Source organism: Homo sapiens, chromosome 8 (assembly GCF_000001405.40).
Source record: "Homo sapiens chromosome 8, GRCh38.p14 Primary Assembly".
Lineage (NCBI taxonomy): Eukaryota > Metazoa > Chordata > Mammalia > Primates > Hominidae > Homo > Homo sapiens.
In genome coordinates, this window is record NC_000008.11 from 141,438,543 (window position 1) to 141,465,496 (window position 26,954).

A 26,954-nucleotide genomic window follows, 5' to 3' on the forward strand; every position below is an offset into this window, starting at 1 on the left:
AGGGATATGTGGGTGGACGGGGGGATCTATGGATGGATGAATGGACGGGTGAATGAGTGAGTAGATGGATGGAGCCATGGGTAGAGATGAATGGGTGGGTCGATGGTTGAATGGAGGGATGAATGGAGGAATGAATGGGTGGGTGGATGGATGGAGGCATGGGTGGAGGGATGCATGGGTGAGTGGATGGATAGGTAGGTGAATAGTTGGATGGGTGGTTGGATGGATGGAGGCATGGATGGAGAGATGAATGGATGGGTAGGTGAATAGCTGGATGAATGGGTGAGTAGATGGATGGATGGATGGGTGGAGGGATGAATGGGTAGATGGATGGGTGGGTGGATGGATGGATGGAGGGATCAGTGGATAGATGGGAAGATGAATGGGTGGGTGGATGGATGGAAGCATGGATGGAGAGATGAATGGATGGGTAGGTGAATAGCTGGATGAATGGGTGGGTGGGTGGATGGATGAAGGATGGAGAGATGAACAGATCATTGAGGAAGTGCTATCTAGTCTCCATCTTCCATTAAGCACCTACTATGCATCACGCACAATGCAAAGAGCTTTGCCAACTGTGACCCTGATGGAAGTCAGTCTTGTTAACCATGTGGAGGCCTGTGGTTGGAACAGAATCACAGTGAACTAGTCTGCTAGGCAAATGACTTTGGGATCTCTTTGGAAACGACCCCTTCTGCTGCCTTCCCATGATGACAGTTTTCTCCCACAAGCCCTGAAAATATTTATGTTCATAACAGCCTCCTCCAACAGCAACAGAAATGGGGGCTGGGCATGTCGCCTTCCCTCTGGGGTCTTAATGCAGCCCTGGGGTGGATGAGAGGAGGCTGAGGCTCCACACTTCCTGATCAGGTGAGAAAATTTCTGCCTCTAACTCAGCATTTTCAGGGTGCAGAGTCAGCCAGGCAGGAAGTTTGCTGCTGCTGCCAGCTGGTGCCCCTAGGGCTGACCACGTGCCAGGGACCGGTCTCTGCATGGCACTCATGACCTGCCTACCACAGGAGGCAGGCATTATTACTGCTCTCGTTGTACAGATGTGGTCACTGAGGCCTGGAGAGCTGACAAAGCCTGCCAGCTAGAAGGTGCTGGAGCGGGGATAGGTCTAGGGCCTGGACTCTTAACCACTGCATGGTACCCTGGGCCCCCACAGCAAGGGCGATGTCAGTTAAGTGGGGGGCTGTAGCTGGGGTAAGGGCAGATCCCCCAAAGGCGGCATCGCAGGCTTTCTCTCCCACAGCTGTCCATGATGGGATATGGGTTATTATGGTGATGAGGTAGAATTGGTTGGGACTGGAGAAGTCAGCAATGGGTTGGGGAGACCCATTCATAAGATTCTCAGAGGGCATTGTCCTCTCTGGGTGAGCCCTGGGATGCCATCTGGTGGGCTTCACGGTGACCACCTGGAGGTCTGCAACAAGGCCCCTCTCTCTTTCGGGCGTGGAGGAGACTCTGTGTCCGGGGAATAGACACTTTGACCCCTCCCACAACCTGCCCCATTCTACAGATGAGGAAACAGGCCCAGAGAGGTGGAGTCAGGTGTCCCAAGCCACACCACCTGAAGTGACAGAGCCGGGATTCCAACCCGGTGGCCCTTGCCTACACCCGGTGCACCGGCTGTTCTGTGGGGTTGCGTGTGCACCAGCCACAGTGCCCGACAGCCCTTACCTTATCTGGGTGGAAGAGGATGTTGCTTAGGCCCTGCAGACTCAACACGCGGACCTCAGGGCTGGGGTCGTGGAGGCCTTGTGCCAGCACGGTCAAGGCAGCTTGTTTGGGAAGCACCTCCAGCAGGACAGGGCTGTAGAGGAACTGAGGTGGCCCCCGGGAGGGCAGGCAGGTCACTCTTTTTTAGGCGCCTGCATCTGTGTTGAGGGGTGGGGCTCTAGGACCGGAGTCCGGTGGGAGTTTCAGGGAGGGAGGCTGACCAGTACCCTCTGGGTATCTTGGTGAACAAGTATCCTGGTTCAACCCCTCAATGTACAGCTGGGGAAACTGAGCCCCAGAAAGGGAAAGGGCCTTGCCTAAGGTCACACAGCGAGGCAAGGCCTCACTTTTATCAAGAGCCGAGCTTGTGGGGCACCTGGGGGTAGAGCGCCCATGGAGGGCGGCCTAGGCAGCTGGTGGGTGGGAGCTGGCATGAGGCTTTCGCTTGGGTTCCCCTACTAGTGTCAGTTACGGAAACAGCACCCTCCTCGCCCCAGTCCCACCCCTGCCTGAGCTCACAGCTGCAAAGTGTGCCACACCCAGCGGCATCTGCTTCTACCCATTCCCCTTTGGCTTTACCCTGAGTCCCACAGGCAGGACAGGGCTGAAGTTGGAGCCTAGACTTGCCTGAGTCTGCACCTAGTGCCCCTGCAACTCTGCAGGGATTGTGCCAGGGAGGGCCGAGTGGGGAGACAGGTCCCCAAAGTGTGCAGCCCCCCTCCAAGGGCTGGGAGTGGGAAGGCAGGAGTACGAGGGGGTCCGTCTGGGCAGCCTCCCCAGTCAGGGTGAGCTCTGGCATGGGTTCTGCTGGGGTGTCAAGGAGGCTGGAGAAGGAGGCTCAGACATCTGAGGTGCTCTCTGCTGGCCTGCATCCCTACCTTGGTGAGGATGAGGATGGCCACCTTCCTCTCACGCTCCTGTGGGCTCTGCAGGCTGGGCAGCAGCTGACGCAGCACCGCTGGGATCTGCCTGCAGTGGTTCTGCACCATGGCCCTGCAGGGGTGGGCCTGGGCTGGTGGTCACTGCTCAGAGCCCACCCTCCTGCCCCCACCCATCTCATCAGGGCTGGCATCCCGGAGGGTCCCAACGTGGCAGGCACGTTCCCACTTCCTTTCCACCCACTGGCTGCCCACTGCGTGCCAGGCTTGGGTTGGACATGCAGGAGACAGAGAAGCAGGCACAGCCCTTGTTCCCTAGGAGGTCACAGGCCAGGGTGAGGGCCGGGGGAAGACACTGCATCAACAGGCTCTGAGCGTGTGCCTGTGACCGGGGGCAGGGGGCCGTGTCCTGTCACTGCAGTCCAGATACCCAGTCCCCTGGATGGGCGTGGCCTGAAGCAGGCTGCCTCGACCTGCCCTGGCCCCACCGTACCTGGCAAGGAGGCCCACGCCCTTCGGGTAGGTGTGGATGGTGGTGAAGAGCTCCCAGGATCCCTGCAGCTCCAGGTGGGCAAAGTCATGCCAGTGCCCCGTGGTGGACAGCAGGCTCTTCAGTGCCTCCAGTGACGTGCTGCAGCTGAGCAGAGGGGGCTTAGGGCTTGCCTCAGGCCACAAGCAGCCCCCTGGGCCACCCCCTGCCCTGGGAAGGGTGCCCACCTGACCCAGATAGAAAGGCACGTTCTGGTTCCTATGCCTGGCGTCACTGAGGCCCCCTGGGGCTACTCCCTCCTGCCCTGTTTTACGCGGAAATGCTGGGACCCAGGATTGGCGGAGCCGGGCCGAGCATGGGGAGGCAGCATGTGCCCAGTCAGACCCCGGGCCTTGCTTGGGCAGGAGACCAGGGGGTGCCCTTCTAGGGAGGGGCACTCTGCTGAAGGGCACCTGCCCTTCAGCTCAAGGATGGCAGCATTTAAATATGGGCCAAGAGTATGGAGGGTAGCAGCGGGCGAGGGCGTGGGAGACTCAGGGCGTGTGGCGTAGCGGAGCCCAGAGAAGTGTCCATTCTCCACTCCTGAGACTCCTGCCCTCAGAGGACATGGAGAAACCCGCGGCACTGGCCCTCGCTTGTGAGTGACGGAGAAACCCGCGGCACTGGCCCTCGCTTGTGAGTGACGGAGAAACCCGCGGCACTGGCCCTTGCTTGTGAGTGACGGAGAAACCCACGGCACCGGCCCTCGCTTGTGAGTGCACGGCTTGTGGTGTCACCGTGTGCTTGGTAGTTGCCAGGTACCATGGATGGTGCCTCACCTGCCCAGCCTGAGGTGGCCCTCTACTGTCGCTGTCCTTCAGCAGAGGAGGGAGCAGTCCTGTCACACAGCCTGGGCAAGGGCACAGAGGTGGGGTCAAGCTGGGCCCTGGCTCCAAACCTGCCAGTGATGTCACTGTCACAGGATGTCACTGTCACTGAACGCAGTCCCTGGGGCACAGGTAGAAAGCCCCAGAATGCAGGCCCATGAAACATGAGATGGCCCTGGCTTGCTGGCCTGTCTCACTGTTCCAGCCACACACCCCTGGCCCGGCCCCTGTGCTCGGTCAGTGTAAGTGCATCACCCTGGATGTGTGAGCATGCCTGGACGAGGCTGTCAGCTTGGACCAGGCACGTTTCTGAGCAGATTTGCAAAACCAAGTGTCAAATGATGAAATGCCATCCGTGAAAGTTCTGACAGTGCCAATCCAAATGCCAGCTGGCTTGTCCTCTCACCCCAAGCTGTGTCATAAAAAAAGGCAGCATTTTCCAGGTCACTGGTCTCAGCCATAATGCGACAATGGTTTTCAGAAGAAGGGGACTTGGTGGGGGGAGTGGCATTTTGTTTGCTCTGGGAGGACTCCAGAAGCTTCTGGTCCTGTGACTTCTTGGGCACTGTATTGGCTTGTTCTTCAAGATTGCCTTGTCCCTGCAGCCCCAGCAGGGCTTCCAGAAAGATGGGCTGATTCAGCATTCTTGGGAATCCATGCCCAACTCCCCTGCAGGTCCATAGAACACAAAACCACCTCCAGCCCAGGACCCCCGGCAATGCTCAAGGACATGTGTCTCCTGAAATCCATACGCAGTCCCAAGACCGATGAAGGTGGAGCCCCTTGAGTCTCTGCCTCGCTGTGGACTCAAGGAACCATCCTCCGTTCCTGCTGGTCTCAACGTCGTTGCCTGCCTGCAGCCTCTTTGGACACTTGGCATCCCAGTGATGCCTGCCCCATACTCGACCAACCGTCCTTTCCCCACTCTGGCCCCGGAGAGGGCAAAGGCACCTGAGAAAGAGGAGGCAAAGCCCCTCTGCTTTCCATACTCCTCCCCAGCCTGAGGGTCCATGAGACCCTCTTCCCTCTCCCATTACCTCCTCCTCTTCTGGTTTTATTTTTAATTGTGGTAAAATGCACATCTCATACAATTTACCGTTTTAAGTGTACAGGTCAGTGGCATTGAGCATATTCATAATATTATGCAACCATCACCACCATCCATCTCCAGAACATTCTCATCTTCCCACACTGAAACTCTGTCCCCATTAAACATTAACTCCCCATTCTCCCTCCATCCAGCCCCTGGCACCCAGCATTCTACTTTCTGTCTCTGTAGATTTGGCTACTCATGGACCTTAAGTAGGTGGACTCACACAGTATTTGACTCAGCAGAATGTGCTCAAGGTTCATCCATGTTGTAGCATCAGAATTTCCTTCCTTTTCAAGGCTGAATAGTATTCCATTGTATGGATGGACCACACTGCTTATTCTAATTCACCCATTGATGAACACTTGTGTTGCTTCTACCTTTTGGTTATCATAACACTGCTGTGAGCAGGGCGTACAAATATCTGTCCCAGGTGCCTGCTTTCCTTTCTTTTGGGTGTACACCCATTAGTGGAATTCCTGGGCCATATGGTAATTCTATATTTAATTTTTGGAGGAACTTCCATACTCTGTTCCAAAGCAGCTGCACCGTTTTACATTCCCACCAACAGTGCACAAGGCTTCTGATTTCTCCACATCCTCGCCAACACTCATTTTCTGATTTTTTTTTGGACAGTAGCCAACCTAATGGGTGTGAAGTTCCTCCTCTTCTTTTGATCACAAGCCTTTGGCCCCAAATCCCCAGGGGACAGAGGGAAAGATGAAGATGAGATGAGGGTGAGAATGATGAGTGCCTTCGAAATAAAGAGAAACGATGTAGCCCATTTGAATTAAATAGAGTTGGCCCACATGGATGACGTGTGAGAACAATGAGAATTCCTTTGTGGGGCAGGGTGGAGACTGGCTGGAGGAGGACCCAGCTGAGAACTGACCAACGCAGGAAACATCTCTAAGGAAAAGGCTTTGTTAGTGGAGGAGCAGGGGAGAGGGAGGCCCCTCTGGCAGGCCTGGCAGCACCTGTTGCAGTCCTGCCCAGGGAAGGGTGCCCTGCTCAACCCCACTCGCTGCTTCCTGGTCCCAGAGGCCTGTCCATCTAAGCAGGACATGAGAACTTCAGAGGCCCAGGGCTGGCCCCATCAGGCCTCAAGACTCCCCTGCTGCCCCATGGTGTCCTGTGCCGCCCCCACCGTTTTGGGCATGCAGAGAGAGTGGCTACTCAGCACTGCTCATCCAGTTGTCCTTCTGGGCCCCTGTCCCCACCTTGACAGTGCCACAGCAGCCTGGCAGGGACCTCAGACCGTGAGCCACCGGGATACACCTGGGTGTCACTCTGCTCTCAGGCCTCCCTTTCTCCCTGGCTCCGTGGTGGTGCTGGGTGGCATGGCTGCTGGTTTGGCAACCGGAGCCTGGGCCCCTTCGCGGTGGTCGAAGAGGCCTGGGCCCATGCCGCTCCCTGGAGGGCGTGGGAGCCAGGCCTGGCCAGTCAGAGCCGCACAGGCCCCTGTGGCCAAGGTGATTGGTTCAGGATTGGGTATGTGAGCAAAGCTAGGCCAATCAGAGCCCAGGACTGTGCCCGTGGTGAGAGTTTTTTCTCTTGGGGCTGCGGGAGCTGCCGGGGCCACCTCCAGGGCTCCAGGAGAACCTGCCCGGAGCGGCCTGAGCAGAAACCACCCGTGGCCCCGCGCGAGGCAGAAGTCCCTGCTATATGGGGAGCCTGAGAGAGACAGACAGACGTCCCAGCTGTATGGGGAGCCCGAGAGAGAGACACGTCCTTGCCGGTGGGGGAACCCACGAGAGACAGATGTCTCAGCTGTATGAGGAGCCCCCAGTGAGACAGACGTCCCAGCTGTATGAGGAGCCCGAGAGAGACAGACAGACGTCCCAGCTGTATGGGGAGCCCGAGAGAGACAGACAGACGTCCCAGCTGTATGAGGAGCCCGAGAGAGACAGACGTCCCAGCTGTATGAGGAGCCCGAGAGAGACAGACGTCCCAGCTGTATGAGGAGCCCGAGAGAGACAGACAGACGTCCCAGCTGTATGAGGAGCCCGAAAGAGACAGACAGACGTCCCAGCTGTATGAGGAGCCCGAGAGAGACAGACGTCCCAGCTGTATGAGGAGCCCGAGAGAGACAGACGTCCCAGCTGTATGAGGAGCCCGAGAGAGACAGACGTCCCAGCTGTATGAGGAGCCCGAGAGAGACAGACAGACGTCCCAGCTGTATGAGGAGCCCGAAAGAGACAGACAGACGTCCCAGCTGTATGAGGAGCCCGAGAGAGACAGACGTCCCAGCTGTATGGGGAGCCCGAGAGAGATAGACAGACGTCCCAGCTGTATGGGGAGCCCAAGAGAGATAGACAGACGTCCCAGCTGTATGGGGAGCCCAAGAGAGATAGACAGACGTCCCAGCTGTATGAGGAGCCCGAGACAGACAGATGTCCCAGCTGTATGAGGGGCCTGAGAGAGACAGACGTCCTTGCTGGTGGGGGAACCCGCGAGAGACAGATGTCTCAGCCGCATGGGGAGGTCCCAGTGAGACAGACAGACATTCCCGCTGTATGGGGAGCCCCCAGTGAGACAGACAGACATTCCCGCTGTATGGGGAGCCCCCAGTGAGACAGACAGACATTCCCGCTGTATGGGGAGCCCCCAGTGAGACAGACAGACGTCCTTGCTGTATGGGGAGCCCCCAGTGAGACAGACAGACGTCCTTGCTGTATGGGGAGCCCGCGAGAGACAGACAGATGTCTCTGGCTCTTCGGGACCTTCCAGTCTATGGGTGAGGGCAGTAAAGCAGGTAAAAGGCGCAGATCACAGATGGTAGCTGATGGCGGGGCTGCGGCGAGAATAAAGCAGCAGAGGGTGGGAGGCGCCGAAGGGGCTGCTATTTTGGAGGGTGGTGGGGGAGGCCTCAGTGAGGTGCGGGTGAGCAGAGCCTGCAGAGACAGGATGGCTGGGGGAAGAACATTCCAGCAGGGGGAGGAGCAGACGGGGTGAGGCTTTCTCCCAACCCTCCCACGTTCCGGGAGGAGAAGGTTTTATTAGCTTATTAGGAAAGATTCATGCATTTTGCATGGTTGAACTGAATAAAAAAGGAACTTCGTGCACATTTGAATTCGGAGGCAAGATGAGAAGAAGTGGCATTTTTTTTAAGTGACTTGCCTTGGGGAGAGCTGTTAAAACTGACAAATTGCGTGACGCACATCATAATACAAACAAATGAAAAGAGTTGGCCCCAGCGGTTTTTAGACTTGCTTATTGGATTTTTGGAAATATGACCTGGTGCAGAGGGAAGATGAAGGCAGGCAGCCCTACTGAGGCCAGAATACGGTGGGCGGGGGAGCGGGCAACTGGCCGTGATGTCAGCCTGAGCATGTGCTGAGGACCAATGAGATGCCCAAGAGGGCATGGAAAGGCATCTGCCCCATGGGTGAGCCCAGTTCGCCTCTGCATGGACATGCTGTGTGGCCCAGGGGAAGCCTCTGACCCTCTCTGAGCCTCAGTTGCCTCATCTGTAGAGCAGGGACAACGACATTCATCTCGAGTCCTCGCAGGAAACCCACTGGGGTAAGATGTGGCTCACTGCATGGGTGCTTTTGGTAACTGCTGTCCCCTTGAGGTCGCTGTATGGCAGTGACACTAAGTATCTCTACTGCCAAGCACCGTCAGGTGACGGGTAAGTGGGACGAACACCTGTCTGCAGGTGCTGCCCACAGCCCCTGTGGCCCTGGCCATGGATGGGGCTCAGGTTCATGACTGTTGTGGGTTGAACTGTGTCCCCCCGAAAAGAGATATATTGAAGTCAACCAACGGTACCTGTGACTGTGACCTTATTTGGAAAGAAGGTCTTTGCAGATGTTATCAAGTTGAGGTCGTTAGGGTGGGGCCCTAACCCAGTGATTGGTATCCTTATAAGAAGGGGAAATTTATTCAGATGCTGAATTTAACTGTTCAACTGCTGAACCACTCAACAGACATGAACGAAAGCTTAATTCTGACAGAGCTGGAAAAAAAAAGGAGGAAATTTAAACACTGGCACACAAGGGAGAATGTCAGGTGACCACAGGGGCAGAGATGAGCGTGGTGCAGCCTCAGGCCCAGGAACACCCAGCGTGGCCATGAGACACTGGGAACCGGAAGCAGTGAGGAAGGCCCCCGCAGGTTTCAGGGGAGCACGCCCTGGTGACACCTTGGTTTTAGACTTCTGGCCTCCAGCACTGGGAGATGTTGCTTTGAGTCCGTGGGGTATGCGTCTTTGTTACTGTGCTCTATGAGGCTAACACAGTCTTTGCCCTCGGATGCCTGCGGAACCCTATGTGTGTCTGGCCAGGCCAGGAGGCCTGGGAGGCTCTAGTCTTACCTTTGGGGGCTGGGCACGGCCGCCTCCTGGGCCTGCTGCTTGGGCTAGGGCTCGCTGGGCAGGTTCAGCTCCAAGACATAGTGCATCTGGGTGAGGAGGGCCAGGAAGAGCTTGGGGTAGCCCTCCTGCACGGCCTGCTTGAACTCCCGGGCAAACTGCAGCTCGTGCAGCATGTTCATGGCCTGTCGGGGGCAGGCGTGGAGTGAGGCTCCCAGGCCCTGGGTCCCGGGACCAGGGGTTCTGACCTACTGTCCCACAAAAGCCACGTCCAAGCATGCTCGTCCCTCCCTGCTGCAAGCTCTCCAGGACCAAGTCCAAGTGTCCACATGCTGTCCCTCCCTGTGGGGCCTGACCCCGTGCCTCTGCAGACTCAGCCTGGCCGTCTCTTGCACCCTCTGGACCCACCGCTTGGGTCTCGCTGCTGCTGGATGGCCTAGTGGTCCCCAGCCTCCCCTAGCTGTCCACCTGGATGCTGTCCGCTCTACACTCCTGCAGACCTCCACCTTGACCCAGGGCCTCCCTCAGACCGCACACTGGATGCCACCATCTGCCCTCTGCACTTTGCTCCTGTCTAAGGGGTGAGCTGCTGGCGTCTGGGCCCTCTGCTCTACTGCCTTGAAGGCAAGGTCCTGTGCTGTGTGGTCTCACGGTACCCTCAGCTCTGTGGCTGGCACACAGCAGGGCCTGATGCCTGGGAGTTGGGGAACCCATGGCCCTGGAAGGCAGAGTCAGCTGATAGCAGCCCCCAACCCCAAAGGCCGAATGTGCCTGCCGGAGCCTTCAGTCCAGAATGTTCTCAGGGTGGGGCCAGCACTGAGCAGTGACAACTGGGGGGAGGGCAGGAACTGGCGGTGTGGTGGGGTGCAGGGAAGGCTCCCCTGCTACCCCTGGGTGGGTCTCACCCATGCTGCTGTGTGGTCCTCTGGTAGGGGGGCAGCATCAGCCCAGGGCCGACCGGGGCGGGGCTGTTGGGGATGGCCAGCTGATAAATCCCCAGGCCGAGGGGGTGCTCTCCCACCGGCTGCCATTGTTAAGCCCTCATCACACCCCTGCTGCAGGCAGCAGCTTGTCTGGGGGGCTCTGGGTGGTAGGGGAGCTGCTGTGAGCTCTGGGCCACTGCTGGGGTGCCTTTGGGGCAGGGACTCAGCCTGGAAAGCTCTAAACAGGAACACAGCTGTGGCCTCATCAGGGTCCAGGTAAGGGGGACAGGTGTGGCCATGCCAGGAGGGGAGCTCCTGGCTCCTGGGAGTGTGGAAGCAGTGCTGGGCTTATGAGGAAAACCAGGGGCTTCCTACAGGGGGGTGGCGGCTGCAGAGGGCAGCCTCTAAGATTCCTCTAGAATCTATGACTCCCCAGAACCCAAGCATGGGGAGGGTTCTCAACTCTCTCCACACCCTTCCCTATACCTGAAGCCCCTCTCTGAGGCCGCCCCACAGTGAGTGAGTGAGTTCCCTTGCCAGCCCAGGGGACTGACACGACTGTCCTGATTCACAGACAGGAGCTCACAGCCCTCGGCTAGGAGGTGGGAGCTGGGCCTGTGTGGTCAGCCCTGGGCGGCTTTCCTCCAGGCTGGGGCTGGACTGGGTGTCTGCAGCCTGGATATGGGGTGCCCCCCTACAGCCCGGCACAGAGTGAGTGCCCGAGGTGCTGCCAGTATTTGATGGGGCGGTGGCAGAGACTCACAGCCAGCAAACGCAGGTAGGTCTTCTCCTTGGGGCAGGGGCTGCTGTCGCTGGCACCGGTGGGCAGGGGTCGCTCCTGCAGACAGGCCAGCAGTGTGGTCAGCACCAGGTGGCTCGTGGGCTGCCCAGCCCCCAGGGCCCTCCACAGCTGGAAGGTGTGGCTGTGGGCAGAGAGGGCATGTGAGGGCAGTGCTGCCACCGAGGCCTGGCTGGGCTCAGCCACATGAGCAGGCCACCATCACCAGGGCCTGGGTGCCTGGAACAGCAAACTTAGGCTGGGCCCTGAGCTGGACCCTAGTGGGATGGGGCTCAGGGCAGATACGAGCATTGCAGGTTGGTGTGGGAGGGGCCCAAGGCGGGGGCTGGACAGGAGGCCCCTGGTCCCTGCCTGTGGTCTCACATCCACACCAGCCCCCTCCTGGATCTCCCCGCTTTCAAGGTCTCTCCGCCAGCTCCTCACTCATACTGGAGGTTTCCTAATGTGCCCTGTCTCCCAACTGCTTGTCATCTTCCCTGGCTCCCAGGTCCTGTAGACCACAGCCCCAGCCGGCACTCAAAGTCACGGCCTCCAAGCTCTCTGCTCTCTGACCTCCAGCCCCTGCCTGTCCTTCCCTTCCTCTGGGCCCCCACATGTGCAGGCCTGGTGTTTAGAGCACTCCTTGTCCCTGACTAATTCCCCCTCAGCCCTTAGGGCTCACCACAAAGTCACTTCCCTCTGGAAGCCTTCCCTGACTACTCCCTCCTAGTCCGGGTTTGCTGGGGCCCAGCTCCTCAGCTGGGTCCTCACTAGCATGAGCACAGTGCTTTACAGTTTGTAGAGTGCCCATTTTGCAGATGGGGCCACTAAGGACCGGAGAGAGGAGACCTGTCCTGATCAAGGCCCTGTCTTGGAACTGGGGATCCTGGAGGCCAGGGCTGTCCAGTCCTGTGGCCTTTCCATGGTTCCATGGGGCATGGCTCGGTGAGGCCTGGAGGGAAGGAAGGGACAGCTGGGTTGCCCTGAGGTGCTGGTGACCATGATGGCCCTGTTTACTGCCCTAAATGGTCTTAGGGTCTGAGTGTTGGGTGGAAGGGGTTCGAGGGGCAGGAGGGCCCCTGGCATGAGGAGGCTGGGGCTGCGAGGACCACAGAAGGGTGGCTCCATGCGCTCCCACCCCTGCTTTAAGACAGACTCAAGGGTGGCTCTCCTTAAAACCCTGGGGAAGCCACTCCAGGACCATCTGACCCTTGGCTAGGTGGGCACGACAGCTCGGAGGACTCTGTGAGTTTCCACCTAGCCGGAAAGAGCCGGGCCTTTGGAGTCAGAAGGGTCTAGGCTCAGACCCCTTCTCTGCCCCAAGCTGGCTGTGTGACCTTGGGGGAGTCACTTAACCCCTCTGAGCCTTGGATTCCTGGCCGCAGAGTAGTGGGCAATGCCTGCCTCAAGAGGCTTAAGCGGGAGGATTCTCCCCGAGCGAGCGTGCATGCCCAGAGGGTGGGTGTTTCTATTCTGCTGCCTGCGGGCCTGCCCCCCAGTCAGCAGGTGTGAGCCGAGCGCCACTGCATGCAGACAGTGTCCCGGGGACCAAGTAGTGGCGGAATCGGCAGGAGTCCCCGGCCTCCTGTGCATGACAGCCTCACGGGGACACAGCAGGAAGCGCAGTGTGCCGGATGCTCAGTGCTGCTTGAGAGAAAAAAGCAGCGTGGGGGGCGGGGGAGAGTCTGGGTGCCTTCGGTTTCAGACAGGGCAGTCGGGGACGCATCCCCTGAGAAGGGGGCACTTGAGCAAAGCCCTGAGGATATCGGGAGGGAGCCAGGCAGCGATGCGGGGGAGAGAAGCTTCCAGAGAGACAGCCCTGAGACAGCTCAATCCTGGTGTGTTCAGGGGACAGAAAGAAAGGCCAGTGTCATTGGGGTGGAGTGGGGAGGGGAGAGGAGGATAGGAAGACGGTGATATCATCGGGGCCACAGCACGACCTTGATGGCTGCTGTGGAGGCTTTGAATGAGATGGGACCACTGGAGGATCTTACGCAGAGACGTGGCATGGGCCTACGTGTGTTCTTCAAGGACTGGGGGGTGGGCGACTGGAAGTGGGCAAGTCACTGCAGGTGAGAGCCGGTGGTGTCCTGGACTAGGGTGGTGGCAGCGGGGGCGGGACACAGGCAGAGGTGGAGCTGGCAGGGTTTCCTAGGGGATGGGATGTGGGTGTAGAGGAGTCGGATGGCATCAAGAATTCCAGCCTGAGATGCTGGGAGCACAGAGTCACCAGCGGTGACATGGGGAAGCCTGCAGGAGGGGCAGGTTGGGGGAGGCCAGGGGTGTGGCCTGGCTGGGTCAGTGGGAGACGCCTGTGTGACATCCAAGGGCTGCCGTCAGGGGGTTAGGGGAGAGGCCTGGGCCAGAGGTGTCAGTATTTAGGGGATATTTGAAGCCACGGGAATGGAGGTGGTCACTGTGAAACTGAGTGTAGCTGAGGAGGAGGATCAGGGGTCAGCCCTGTGGCCTCAGGGCTATGAAATCTGGGAGATGAGGAGGAGCCACTGGAGGAGGCTGAGCGGGAGTGGCCGGGGAGGTAGGAGGAGAACCGGGGAGGGCAGCGTTCCCAGGAGGAGAGAGTCACTGGCTGAGTCAAATTCTGCTGACAGGTCACATAAGGTGGGGACAGAGAATGGACTATTGGACCTAGTGACGTGAGGTTACTGGTGACCTTGACGAGAACCATTTTATTGGAGCAGCAGTGGACAAAGTCTGGTTCATGTGGGTCTAAGAAGGAATGGGAGCTACAAGTCACAACCCAAAGACAAACAACCCAACTCCAAAGTGGAGAAAGGGCTTGAAGAGGCATTTCTCCAAAAAAGATAGACAAATGGCCAATAAGCACATGAAGAGATGCTCAGGGGAACACAAATCAAAATATGTCACTTCACACCTCCTAGGATGGCTACAGCCCCAAGATGAGAGACACCAAGTGCTGGTGAGTATGTGGAGAAACAGAAACCCTGGTACTTTGCTGGTGAAAATAGAGAATGGTGTAGTTGCTATGGAAAATGGTACGGCAGTTCCTCAAAAAGCTAAACATAGTACGGCCACATGGCCCAGAAACTTCACTCCTAGGTACACACCCAAAATAACTGAGAGAAGGGTCTCGAACATGCTGGTATGCCAGTGCTGACGGCATCGTTATTCATGACGGCCCAAAGGTGGAGGCAACCCGAGTGTCCGTCAACAGATGAATGGATAAATAAAATGCGGCCTACCCGTGCAGTGGACTATTATTCAGCAATGAAAAGAAATGAAGTTCCGATACATGCTACGGCATGGATGAACCTTGAAAACATTAGGCGGAGGGAAAGAATCCAGACCCGAAAGGACAAATATTATATCATTCCACTTACATGAAATGTCGAGAACAGCCAAATTCATAAGACAGAAAGTAGATTAGAGGTTATCAAGGGCTATGGGGAGGGGAAGATGGGGAATTATTATTTAATAGTTACACAGCTTCTGTTTGGAGTGATAAAAAAGTTTTAGAATTAGACAGTGGTGATAGCTGTGCAACAATTGCAAATATAATTAATGCCACTGAATCATACACTTAAAAGTGAATAAAATGACAAAGTTTATATTATACATATTTTACTACCATTAAAAATAATGTAATATGCCAAACCCATTGAATTGTACACTTTAAATGGCCAAATTGTAAAGTATGTGAGTTATATCTCAATAAATCTGTTTTTTAAAAAAAGGAATGAGAAGACTTCTTCATCCTCCAGTAGGGGTGCACTAAGCTACTTGAATCAGCTCCTCCATTGAAAACAACTATAAAGGTTGGAGAAAATATAAACATGTAGGCTGGGCATGGTGGCTCACATCTGTAATTCCAGCACTTTGGGAGGCAGAGGTGGGTAGATCACTTGAGGTCAGGAGTTCGAGACCAGCCTGGCCAACATGGTGAAACCCCATCTCTACTAAAAATACAAAAATTAGGTGTGGTGGCACATGCCTATAATTCCAGCTACTTGGGAGGCTGAGGCAGGAGAATAGCTTCAACCCAGGAGGCAGAGGTTGCAGTGAGCCGAGATTGCGCCATTGCTCTCTAGCCTGGGTGATGAAGTGAGACCCTGTCTCAAAAAGAAAAGAAAACATAAACAAGGGTCCTGAGAGTATTAAAGAGATGACAAGACTGTAAGAAACTGCAAGGCCAACATGTGGGGAATATGATGACCCTGAGGGGTTGGGAGCAGGAAAGCTACTGATGCCTTGGGGGCATCTGACAATTCTGGAAAATTAGATCCTTTGTTCTGACAGCCTTGTGGGATGAAGGGACAGAGACCTAAGCTCACAGACTGCACAACATGGTTAATCTCATAGGAGACCCTTGGCCACTTTCAGACTGGTGCCTAAGCAGGTGTGAAAAACCCAAGCAAATTTCAGCCACGTTTGAATTGAATGGGGGCATCCAGGGAATCTGAAGCACTGGATTTGGCTTAAGGTAATCACGGGCTTACCTTAGGTATCCTTAGGTGCTTGGCAGAGCAAAGACAAGTTGTTTTTGTTGGAGGAAAATACCTTAATTGTGGGCCCCAAATCATTCCTACATTTTTTTTTTCCAAAAACAACATCCAGTATGTAGTCAAAAGATAATCAGACACATGAGGAAGGCACACTCCATCGGTAACATACAGCAAGAATAACAAATAAAGTAGATCTGAAAACTTAGATATTAGAATCGTCAGGTATGAACTATGAAACAAATATTTGATTATGAATACAGAAATAAAAGACAAGCTTAAAAATGTCTTCAGGGACTAGGAACCTATAAGTGATAGAGCAGGTGAGAAAAAGAACCAAAATGACATTTTAGAAATAAAAAATACCAAATCTGAAATAAAAAAAATGCAATGGAAAACGTTAACATCACATTGACATGGTTAAAGGAGAATTAGTGAACTAGAAGATAACTCAAAATAAATTAGACAGAATTCAGCAATGAGGGACACAAATATGGGGAAGCAGAAGGGAAGTAAGAAATTGTGTTGAATATCTTCCGCTTGCTCCTGCAGATATAATCTCTGCTGCTCCCCATCCTGCCTCATGCCCCAGGAAGCTGACCTGTATACACTGCATCAAGAAGCTCTCTTGACCTTTGGCTTCCAGTTGACTTGGCTAATGGTAAGCACTAGCAAGAGGTCAGAAGGTGGGAGTGGAGGGAAGTCAGGGTATTTATACCGCAGAGTCTCTCCCTGTGGGTGGCCACAGGATTGCCGTGTCCATCTGTCCTGTGGTCTAGCCATATAGACATCCTTGGTTCTGGGAGCACTCCCATTCCCTGCCCCTTTAGGTCTAGAAGGTGGCAATGAGTCAGCATTGTTACTTTTCCTGGGGCACTGGCCCTTCCCCTGTCAGTCACATTAAACTCTACCCCTTGTCCAAGAGCTCTTTTATTAAATTTTCCACCTCAACCAATTTGAGTGTGTTATCTGTTCCCCCCAGCACTCTGAGTGATCTAGTGAAATAGAGGATATGGTAAGATATTGACATGTGCCTAATCAGTGCCCTAGAAGGAAAGTGAGAGAGAATGCAGGAGAAGCACTATGTGGAGAGATAATGGCTGGGATTCTTCCAGGACCAGAATATTCCAGAACAGGAATTCAAGACAGGATAAACATAAAGAAATCCATTCCTAGACACACTGTGGTGACTTATCAGACAAATAAAAACAAACAAAACAACAAACTTTCCCAAACCAGAAAAAACCAGGGTACTGTAAAACCAGTCACAGGATAAAGCACATAGCACGATGAAAAGAGCAGCAGTCCTGCTGAGAGCTGACTTCTCAACAGCAGCAATGGAAGCCAGTGACAGTGGGATGTTAGCTTGGCGTGCAGAAAGAAAATAACTGCCAATATTGAATTCTATACCCAGTGAAGTGTCTATCAAGATTGAAGATGAAATAAAGACATTTTCATATAAAAACTGAAAGCATTTGCTAACAGCAGACCCAAACTAAAGGGGGTTCTAAAGGATGTGCTTTAGGTTGGAGGAAAATGGCCTCAGGTGAGGGGTGTGAGGCTTAAAAAGAAATTAAGAGCAAAGAAAATAGTGAAAATGGGGGCAACTCTAAATGAATATTGACTTGTGAGATTTAAAAATATACAGAGTTAAACAACAAGGGCATTAAAATTGAGAGTGTGTTAAGTCAGTTGAAGACTCTGAAGGTTCTTTTTTTTTTTTTTGGTCTGGAAAGAAAGTAAAGATGGTAAATTCAATCCCAAATATATAAACAATTATATTACAAGTAAATTGAATAAATGCTTCAATTAAAGACAAAGGTCGTCAGGCTATAAAAACCCAACTAAATGCTGTTTACAAAAGACACATCTAAAACAAAAGAATGTAGAAATAGCAAAAGTAAAAGTCTGGAAAAAGGCATACTATGCAATATCAACAAAAGAAAACTGGTGTTATTATATGACTAGACACTTAATATTAGACAATATAAACTCTAAAAAACTATAGTAATATTAGGCAAATGGAAATCTCCAAGTATATGCAACAGAATGCCCTTCATATGAAAGTATAAAAATTATAACTCACATGAAATTATAATTTATATGAAATTAGAAAAACAATAAAGTACTTTTAGGAATATGTATAGGTGCAATAAAACTAAATAAAAGGAAAGCAAAGTAATGATGAACCTTAGATAGGGTGAGCCAGGGGAATGGAAATTAGCAATGGCGGACAACACAATAGAAACGTGTGCAGGATACTTGAATAGGCATATCACCAAAGAGGCTAAAAAGAAATGAAAAGATGTTCAACTTCTTTATTTAATCATGAAAGTGGAAACGAATACCACAATACTGATTAATAGCACCACCAGACTGACTAAAACTTTGATTACTGGCTAAAAAGTGAATGCTAAGTGTTAGTAAACTGCGGAGTAACGGGAACTCTAAAAAAAATACTGCTGAGAGTGTGAATCAGTACAAGCTCTTTGGAAACATTTTGCATTATGTATTAGAGTTGGATATATGTATAGCTTTATGATGCAGACATTTCCATCCTAGATGCATACACTGTGGAAACTGAGAGCTTATGTACATCCAGGCGCATGTATAAGCAAGTTCACTGCAGCGTTGCTAACCATAGTACCAAACAGGAATTGACCCAAATATTGACCTCTAGTAAAAAGAATAATTGGCATTCATAAAATGGAATACTATACAGCAACAAAAATGAATGAACTACAACATGTTAAAATGAATCTTAGACACATCATATTGGAGGAAAAAAATAAGCCAGACATGCTGGGCATGGTGGCTCATGCCTATAATCTCAGCGCTTTGGGAGGTCAAGGTGGAAGGATTGCTTGAGGCCAGGAGTTTGAGATCAGCCTGGGCAACATAATGAGACCCCATCTCTTCAAAAAAAATAAATTAGCCAGGTGTGGTGATGCATGCCTGTAGTCCTAGCTACTCATGAGGCTAAGGTGGGAGGATCACTGGAGCCCAGGAGTTTGAGGTTACAATGAGCTATGATTGTACCACTACACTCCAGCCGGGGCAACTAAGCAAGACCTTGTCTCAGCAAACAAACAAACAAACAAACAAACACCCAAGCCAAACAACAGAAGAATATTGGAAGACTACATATTGTACAATTCTGTTTATACTTTTAGGACACACCCCACCATGATTTCACGTATTTCTAAGAAAGAAAAAATGGCCAAGATGGGAGTCTTATAGGAGACCCCAACATAGAGCTGGGACCCAAAGGTCTGCATGTACGGTTTAAGGGTGATCGAAATAAACAAACAAAACTCGGCCCTGCAGAAAGAAAAATCGAGAAAACTGTCATGCTTCAGTCAGCACACTGGGTGGAAGTGGGAAGGGGTACGAATGTCCTGAGGATTTGAACCCAAACCTCTTTGGATGCCTGAATTCACACCAATGTGGCCCAATAAAATCTCAAGCAGAGACTTTTAAATTGAAAGTGGTCTCAAACTAACAGTGCCCCCAGGTGCCTGGCAGAAAACTATATAAATCCAGGTGTAAGGCACCATCAGTGAAAAATGCACCCCGATTTCATAAATGTTAAAATGTAAAAAAAAATGCTTCTTAGAATTGAGGAAATAAGATAAAAATTCCAATACATAAAATAGAACTGTAAACTTCTAGGTAGCTGAAGACGATGCCTGTTGCCTAGGCCTCCACCTCCCAAAATTTCCTTGAGATACAACAGAAAAACAAGAAGGGAAATAAAAATGCACAAAAACTATGACTCCAGTGCAAATTCAGAGAGTTCCCAAACTTCAAAATTAAGCACAAAGAGAAGAGTATCAACCTTAGCATGAAATCTCTACTGCTCCCACCCTATCCCGTTCTACCATAAGGCTTTGATAAAGGCAGGCTGAGAGAAACTGAGGGGAAAGAGGGAAGGGAGGAGTTAGCAACAGGGCTTGAGATTGATATAAAGCCTAAAGCACCTTCTAGAAGACTAAGTCCACCCTAAGTCTTAAAAAAAAAAAAAAAGTTCAAGTGTCAGAGCCCCAATCACATAGCAGTGACTTAAAAGTCTGCCTGCTTTGGAGGGCGGTCTTCAAAATGCACAGATTTTGGGAAAGGAAAGGGCAAAAAAGAAAGCAGAGGTATCCTTTGGAGATTAGGTGGTGATAGGGAAAGAGGTAAAAGGGAAAAATGTATGGCCCTGCAATAGAAATGGAACCAAAACATTGGAGGATCCATAATCCTTTTGCTTACCACCCAAACAGTCTATTAAATTATCTGGACTTTGCTGTATTGACAGAAGAGGGTGCCATTGAACTTAAAATCATATAAAACACGCAAAGAACACAAACATGAACAGGAACAAAATGAACAGATCCATAGAATTATTGTAAAAAATGAGAAAACAAAAATCAGCACACACAAAATAAGGAACTCCCCCTGGAAAAAATCACGATGCAGGAAAAAAACCCTAAGACAACATTCATTCTACGTGTCATTACATATGCTCAAATAAGCATTTAAAAATGTGAAAACTACCTTGAATTATGAGTTCAAAAAAGGACAAAAAAATCCAACAGGATCTGAAAAGAGAGTTGATTGACTTCAGGAAAGAAATGGATGAGATGAAAAAATTATCTCAGAAATGAAGGAAGAGTACAAGGTGTCCAAGAGAGATAAGACTCAAATGATAATTTAATAAGGTGCATTTAGGAAAACAAGAAAAGCAACCAAGAGAATGAAAGTGAATTTAAGAAAGAGTAAAAGGGGTCAGAGGGAAAGTAGTGAAAATGGAAGACAGGAGGAATAGCATTTGTATTACTGGAGTCCCTGAGGAAGAAAAACAGCAATGGAACATGACTAATATTTAAAACTGTAACCAAGAAAATTTTCCAAGAATAGCAACCTCAAAAAAATTTCAATTCTTTTTTTTCTTCTGCCCGTGGACGCCCCTGAAGAAGCATCGTTAAAGTCTCTCTTCTTCCTGCTGTCATGTCTAAGTCAGAGTCTCCTAAAGAGCCCGAACAGCTGAGGAGGCTCTTCATTGGAGGGTTGAGCTTTGAAACAACAGATGAGAGCCTTGAGGAGCCATTCTGAGCAATGGGGAATGCTCACGGACTGTGTGGTAATGAGAGATTCCAACACCAAGCGTTCCGGCGGGAGTTTTGGGTTTGTCACTATGCTGCTGCGGAGGAGGTGGATGCAGCCACGAATGCAAGGCCGCACAAGGTGGATGGAAGAGCTGTGGAACCAAAGAGAGCTGTCTCAAGAGAGGATTCTCAAAGATCAGTTGCCCACTTAGCTGTGAAAAAGATATTTGTTGGTGGCATTAAAGAAGACACAGAAGAACATCACCTAAGGGATTATTTTGAACAATTTGGGAAAATTGAAGTGACTGAAATCACGACGGGCCGAGGCAGTGGCAAGAAAAGGGGCTTTGCCTTTGTAACCTTGGACGACCATGACTCTGTGGATAAGCTTGTCATTCAGAAATACCCTACTGTGAATGGCCACAGCTGTGAAGTTAGGAAAGTCCTGTCAAAGCAAGAGATGGCGAGTGCTTCATCCAGCCAAAGAGGTCGAAGTGGTTCTGGAAACTTTGGTGGTGGTGGTGGAGGTGATTTTGGTTGGAATGACAACTTTGGTCATGGAGAAAACTTCAGTGGCTATGGTGGCTTTGGTGGCAGCCATGGTGGTGGTGGATATGGTGGCAGTGGGGATGGCTATAATGGATTTGGTAATGATGGAAGCCATTTTGGAGGCTACAATGATTTTGGCAATTAGAACAACGAGTCTTCAAATTTTGGCCCCATGAAGGGAGGAAACTTTGGAGGCAGAAGCTCTGGCTCCTATGGTGGTGGAGGCCAATACTTCGCAAAACCACGAAACCAAGGTGGCTATGGTGGTTCCAGTAGCAGCGGTAGCTATGGCAGTGGCAGAAGATTTTAATTAGGAAACAAAGCTTAGCAGGAGAGGAGAGCCATAGACGTGACAGGGAAGCTACGGGTTACAACAGATTTGTGAACTTGGTCAAGCACTGTGGTGGCAGGGCCTAGCTGCTACAAAGAAGACATGTTTTAGGCAGATACTCATGTGTATGGGCAAAAAAACTCGAGGACTGTATTTGTGACTAATTGTATAACAGGTTATTTTAGTTTCTGTTCTGTGGAAAGTGTAAAGCTTTCCAACAAAGGGTTTTAATGCAGATTTTTTTTTTTTTTTGCTCCCATGCTGTTGATTGCTAAATGTAATAGTCTGATCGTGATGCTGAATAAATGTCTTTTTTTTTTTTTAATGTGTTGTGTAAAGTTAGTCTACTCTGAAGCCATCTTGGTAAATTTCCCCAACAGTGTGAAGTTAGAATTCCTTCAGGGTGATGCCAGGTTCTATGTGGAATTTATGTACAACCTGCTTGGGTGGAGATGCCATTGTCTTCAGAAACCTTGGTGTAGTTGAACTGACAGTTACTGTTGTCACCTGAAGTTCACCGTTAAAAGGGATGGCCCAAGAAAAGTCATGGAATTAATTGGTTATAAAAATGATTGTTGGCACATCCTATGAAATATATGTAAATTGAATAATGGTACCAGATAAAACTATAGATGGGAATGAAGCTTGTGTATCATCCATTATCATGTGTAATCAATAAATGATTTAATTCTCTTGAAAAAAAAAAAAGATCTCAATCTACATAATCAAAGGAGGTACCAGGTGCCTGGGAACATTAACCCCGAATGATCAGCTCTGAGACATTTCCTAACTAAATGATTAGATTTCAAAGATTACAAAAAAATCTTAAAGTCTCTGGGCAAAAAGAGCAAATAACTTACAAACGCCAAAAAAACCCCTATTGTCATTAACTTTTAAAAAACAACGCAAGGCAACGATGCAACAGCATTTAAAAAATAATAAAAGAAAATGTGAACAAAGAATTTTATATCCAGCCAAACCATTCTTCAAATAAAGAACTTTCAACATAAAAGAACCTAAAGAATTCTGAATCTTTTGGAGGATGAGCTTCTTCAGACTAAGATGACTGGAAAACTTCAGCCTAGGAACTGATGGTGTGCCTGTAAACACAAAGTATGGAGATGAGGGTAGAGCAGTAGAGTGTGAATGTTCAATGTTTTGACAAAGTACAAATATGTAACTGAAAAATGGGAGAAGGAGACAGAAAGAGGAAAATAGAACAATTTCACTAATTGTTGTGCAGAAAACAGGTGGGAATTAAAGAGTATTGGGGTAGGAGGTGGGACACGGATACAGGACCAAATTGACGACTAGCTATCACAGGGATAGGGCAGAAGCACCTTTCCATAAGGCACGCCCACTGGCGCGCCATGTCAGTTTACCATTGCCATGGCTACACCAGGACGTTACCACCTCTTTCCATGGCAATGACCTGACGACCCTGAAGTTACCACCCTTTTTCTAAGAATTTCTGCATAACCTACCCCGTAATTTGCACATAATTAACTGCAGAAGTGCCTCTGAGCTGCTCCTCTGGGCAGCCCTGCTCTGCAAGGAGCAGGCCTCTGCTGCTGCTGTGCAGGGCCGCTTCAATCAAAGTTGCTGTCTAACACCATGGGCTTGCTCTTGAATTTTTTCCTGGGCAAAGCTAAGAACCTTCCTGGGGTAAGCCCCACCTTTGTGGCTCACCTGCCCTGCATCAGTATCAAATAAAAAGGATAAACCTGGCCGGGCACGGTGGCTCACGCCTATAATCCCAGCACTTTGGGAGGCCGAGGAGGGGGTGGATCACCTGAGGTCAGGAGTTCAAGACCACCAGCCTGGCCAACATAGCAAAAGCCTGTCTTTACTAAAAATACAAAAATCAGCCAGGCGTGGTGGTGCACACCTGTAATCCCAGCTACTTGGGAGGCTGAGGCAGGGGAATTGCTTCAACCCAGGAGGCGGAGGTTGCACTGAGCTGAGATTGCACCACTGCACTCCAGCCTGGGTGACAGGGCAAGACTCTGCCACACACACACACACACACACACACACACACACACACACACACAAAGATAAACCTGATGTTAAAGGGCTGAATAATAAAATGGGGACTAAGCGACTAAGGGCATTAAAATAAGTTAGGAGCACAAAGGTAACAACTAGGATGAAAATACATTTCCTAGATTAAAACAAAATTGAAGCTGAAGAGCAAAGAATGCACCTCTTGTAGAAAAAGAAACAGCAAATGTCATGAAATACACACAACTACAAAATGTCATGACAGACAAACATATCAATCGCATCAATATTGACAAGCTTCACTCACCTATTACAAAAGATTTTCAATTTGGATTACAAATCAGGACAAACTTTGTGCTGTATATAAGATGGAGACCTAAAACAAAGGGATTCCCAAAGGCTAAGATAAAGAAGTAGAGAAATGCATACTGGGCAAATGGAAAAATAAAAAAGCAGGTTAATGATTCTGAACAGACAGTAGAATTCAAGTCCCCAAAACATTAAGTGTGACAAAGCAGGGCATCTCAATAGTAAAAGTCATGGTTCATAAATATATAGAATACTTATGACTATGTATGTGCCAAATAACATGGCAATCACCTTCACAAAGTAAAAGTCCAGGGATTGAAAGTATAGATAGAGACACACCAATGTTTCTTTAGTGAGACTTTAACACACACTCAGTCCAAGACAGATCAAGAGGACAGAAATTAAGTACGTAGAAAACCTCGACAACACAATCAAGGTAAACCTTATACATATAGAGGCACACCTCGTTTTACTGTGCGTCACTTTATTGTACTTTGCGGATATTGCATTTTTTACGAGTTGAGGGTTTGTGACAACCCAGCGTCGAGCAAGTCTGTTGGTGCCATTTTTCCAGCAGCGTGTGCTCACTTCATGCCTCTGTGTGATATTTTGGTAATTCTCACAGTATTTTAAGCATCCTCATTATTATTAATCTGTTATGGTGATCTGTGATCAGTGATCTTTGCTGTTACTACTGTAATTGTTTTAAGGCACCATGAGCCACACTCATATAAGATGCCAGACTGAATCCATAGATGTTGTGGGTTCTGACTGCTCCACCCACTGGCCGTTCCCCCATCTCTCTTCCTTTCCTTGGGCCTCTCTATTCCCCAAGACACAACAACATTGAAATTAGGCCAATTAATAACTTAACATGGGCTGTAAGTGTTCAAGTGAAAGGAAGAGTCCCATTTCTCTCACTTTAAATCAAAAACTAGAAATGATTAAGTTCAGTGAAGAAAGCATGTTGAAAGCCAAGATAGGCCCAAAGCAAAGACTCTTTTGCCAAACAGTGAGCCAAGCTGTGAATGCACAGGAACAATTATTGAAGGAAATGAAAAGTGCTACTCCAGTGGACACACACATATGAAGAAAGTGAAACAGCCCTTATTGCTTAGTGGTTTGAAGAGATCAAACCAACCACAACATTCTCTTAAGCCAAAGCCTAATCTAGAGCAAGGCCCTAACTCTTCCACCCTGTGAAGGCTGAGAGAGGTGAGGAAGCTGTAAAAGAAAAGTCTGAAGCTAGCAGAGGTTGGTTCGTGAGGTGGAAGGAAAAAAGCCATCTCCACGGCATAAAAGTGCAAGATGGAGCAGCAAGTGCTGGTGGAGAAGCTGCAGCAAGTTATCGAGAAGATCTAGCTAAGATCACTGATGAAGGTGGCTACACTAAACAACACATTTTCAATGAAGAAACCACCTTCTATTGGAAGATGCCATCTAGGACTTCCATAGCTAGAGAGGTAAAGTCAAAGCCTGGCTTCAAAGCTTCAGAGGACAGGTTGACTCTTGTGTTAGGGGCTAATGGAGCTGGTGATTTTAAGTTGAAGCCAATGCTCATTTCCCATTCTGAAAATCCTAGGGCCCTTCAGAACGATGCTAAATCCACTCTGCCTGTGCTCTAGACATGGAACAACAAAGCCTGGTTGACAGTGCATCTCTTTACTTCATGGTTTACTGAATATTTTAAGCCCGCTGATGAGACCTACTGCTCAGAACTAAAAGATTCCTTTCAAAATATGAGTGCATATTGACAATGCACCTGTCACCCAAGAGCTCTGCTGGAGATGTACAAGGCGATCGATGTCGTTTTCCTGCCTGTGAACACGACAACCATTCTGCAGCCTGTGGATCAAGGAGTCATTTTGACTTTCAAGTCTTATTATTGAAGAAATACACTTTGCAAGAGGGTAGCTGCCATAGATAGTTGTTTCTCTGATGCATCTGGGCAAAGTACATTGAAAACCTTCTGGAAAGGATTCACCATGCTAGATGCCATTAACAACATTTGTGATTCATGGAGAGGAGGGCAAAAGAGCAACATGAACAGCAGTTTGGAAGAAGTTGATTCCAGCCCTCACAGATGACTTTGAGGGGCTCAAGACTTTGGTGGAGGAAGTAACTGCAGATGTAGTAGAAATAGCAGGAGAACTAGAATTAGAAGTGGAGCCGGAAGACTGAATTGCTGCAATCTCATGATCAGACTTGAAGAGATGAAGAGCTGCTTCTTATGGATGAGCTAAGAAAGTGGTTTCTGAGATGGAAACTACTCCTGGTGAAGATGCTGTTGAAATGACATCAAAGGATTTAGAATATTCCATAAACTTACTGATAAAGCAGTGGCAGGGTTTGAGAGAATTGACTCCAAATTTGAAAGAAGTTTCACTGTGGGCAAAATGCTATCAAACAGCATCACATGGTACAGAGAAATCTTTCAGGAAAGGAAGAGTCCATTGATGCTAAAACGTCATTGTTGTCTTATTTTTAAGAACTTGCCAGACACCTGAACCTTCAACAGCCACCACCCTGACCAGTCAGCAGTCCTCACCACCCACCAGCAAGAGGATCCCGACTTGCTGAAGGCTCAGATGATCATTAGCAATTTTTAGAACTAAAGCATTTTTAAATTAAGGTAAGTACATTGTTCTTTGAAAAGACACAATGCTATTGTCTACTGACTAGACCACAGTATAGTATAAACAGAACTCTTATGTGCACTGGGAAACACGGAGGCACACGTGACTGCTCTATTGTGGTGGCCTGGAACCGAACCCGTAATATCCTGAGATATGCCGGTATCTCAAACTCTACACCCTGACAACAGAAAATACACCTCCTTCTTGAGTGCCAATGGGACATTCACAAAAAGCATTTAAAAGATTAGTAAATTTCATAAAGTAAAAACTTTACAGACAACACTCTCTGACCACAGTGCAGTAAAACTAGAAATTATTCACAGAACCACAAATGCGCTTCCACATGGAAATTAGACATCTTCCTGGAAACAACTCTTGGGCTCTGGGAGCTTATGACACCCCTGTTCTGGTGGCTTCTGAGTGTTCAGTGAAATGGGAGCAAGGCCAGCAGCTGGGGCCAGGGACCTGTGTGTGTGCGGGAGTCACTGTCTCACT

The 26,954-nt window shown here is 49.9% G+C and overlaps 1 long non-coding RNA gene, 2 other non-coding genes and 1 pseudogene across 5 annotated transcripts in view; 3 read left to right on the top strand and 1 right to left on the bottom strand.

Annotated features, from left to right (window-relative positions):
• The window catches only part of MROH5 (maestro heat like repeat family member 5 (gene/pseudogene)), a 73,405-nt gene that overhangs the window by 4,718 nt on the left and 41,733 nt on the right, over nucleotides 1-26,954 (bottom strand). For all 3 annotated transcript variants that reach the window (NR_102363.3, NR_102364.3, NR_160399.1), the window contains 5 exon segments: nucleotides 1,684-1,827; nucleotides 2,601-2,715; nucleotides 3,094-3,237; nucleotides 9,365-9,546; nucleotides 11,048-11,207. This is a non-coding gene — a transcript (maestro heat like repeat family member 5 (gene/pseudogene)).
• LOC105375789 (uncharacterized) lies at nucleotides 452-26,412 on the top strand. The gene is made up of 3 exons (XR_928722.3): nucleotides 452-8,571; nucleotides 16,093-16,201; nucleotides 26,313-26,412. It is a non-coding gene; the product is annotated as an uncharacterized LOC105375789 (long non-coding RNA).
• LOC124900270 (small nucleolar RNA SNORD5) lies at nucleotides 8,933-9,007 on the top strand. Its single transcript, XR_007061208.1, has one exon. It is a non-coding gene; the product is annotated as a small nucleolar RNA SNORD5 (small nucleolar RNA).
• On the top strand, nucleotides 20,475-21,686 carry HNRNPA1P38 (heterogeneous nuclear ribonucleoprotein A1 pseudogene 38; annotated as a pseudogene).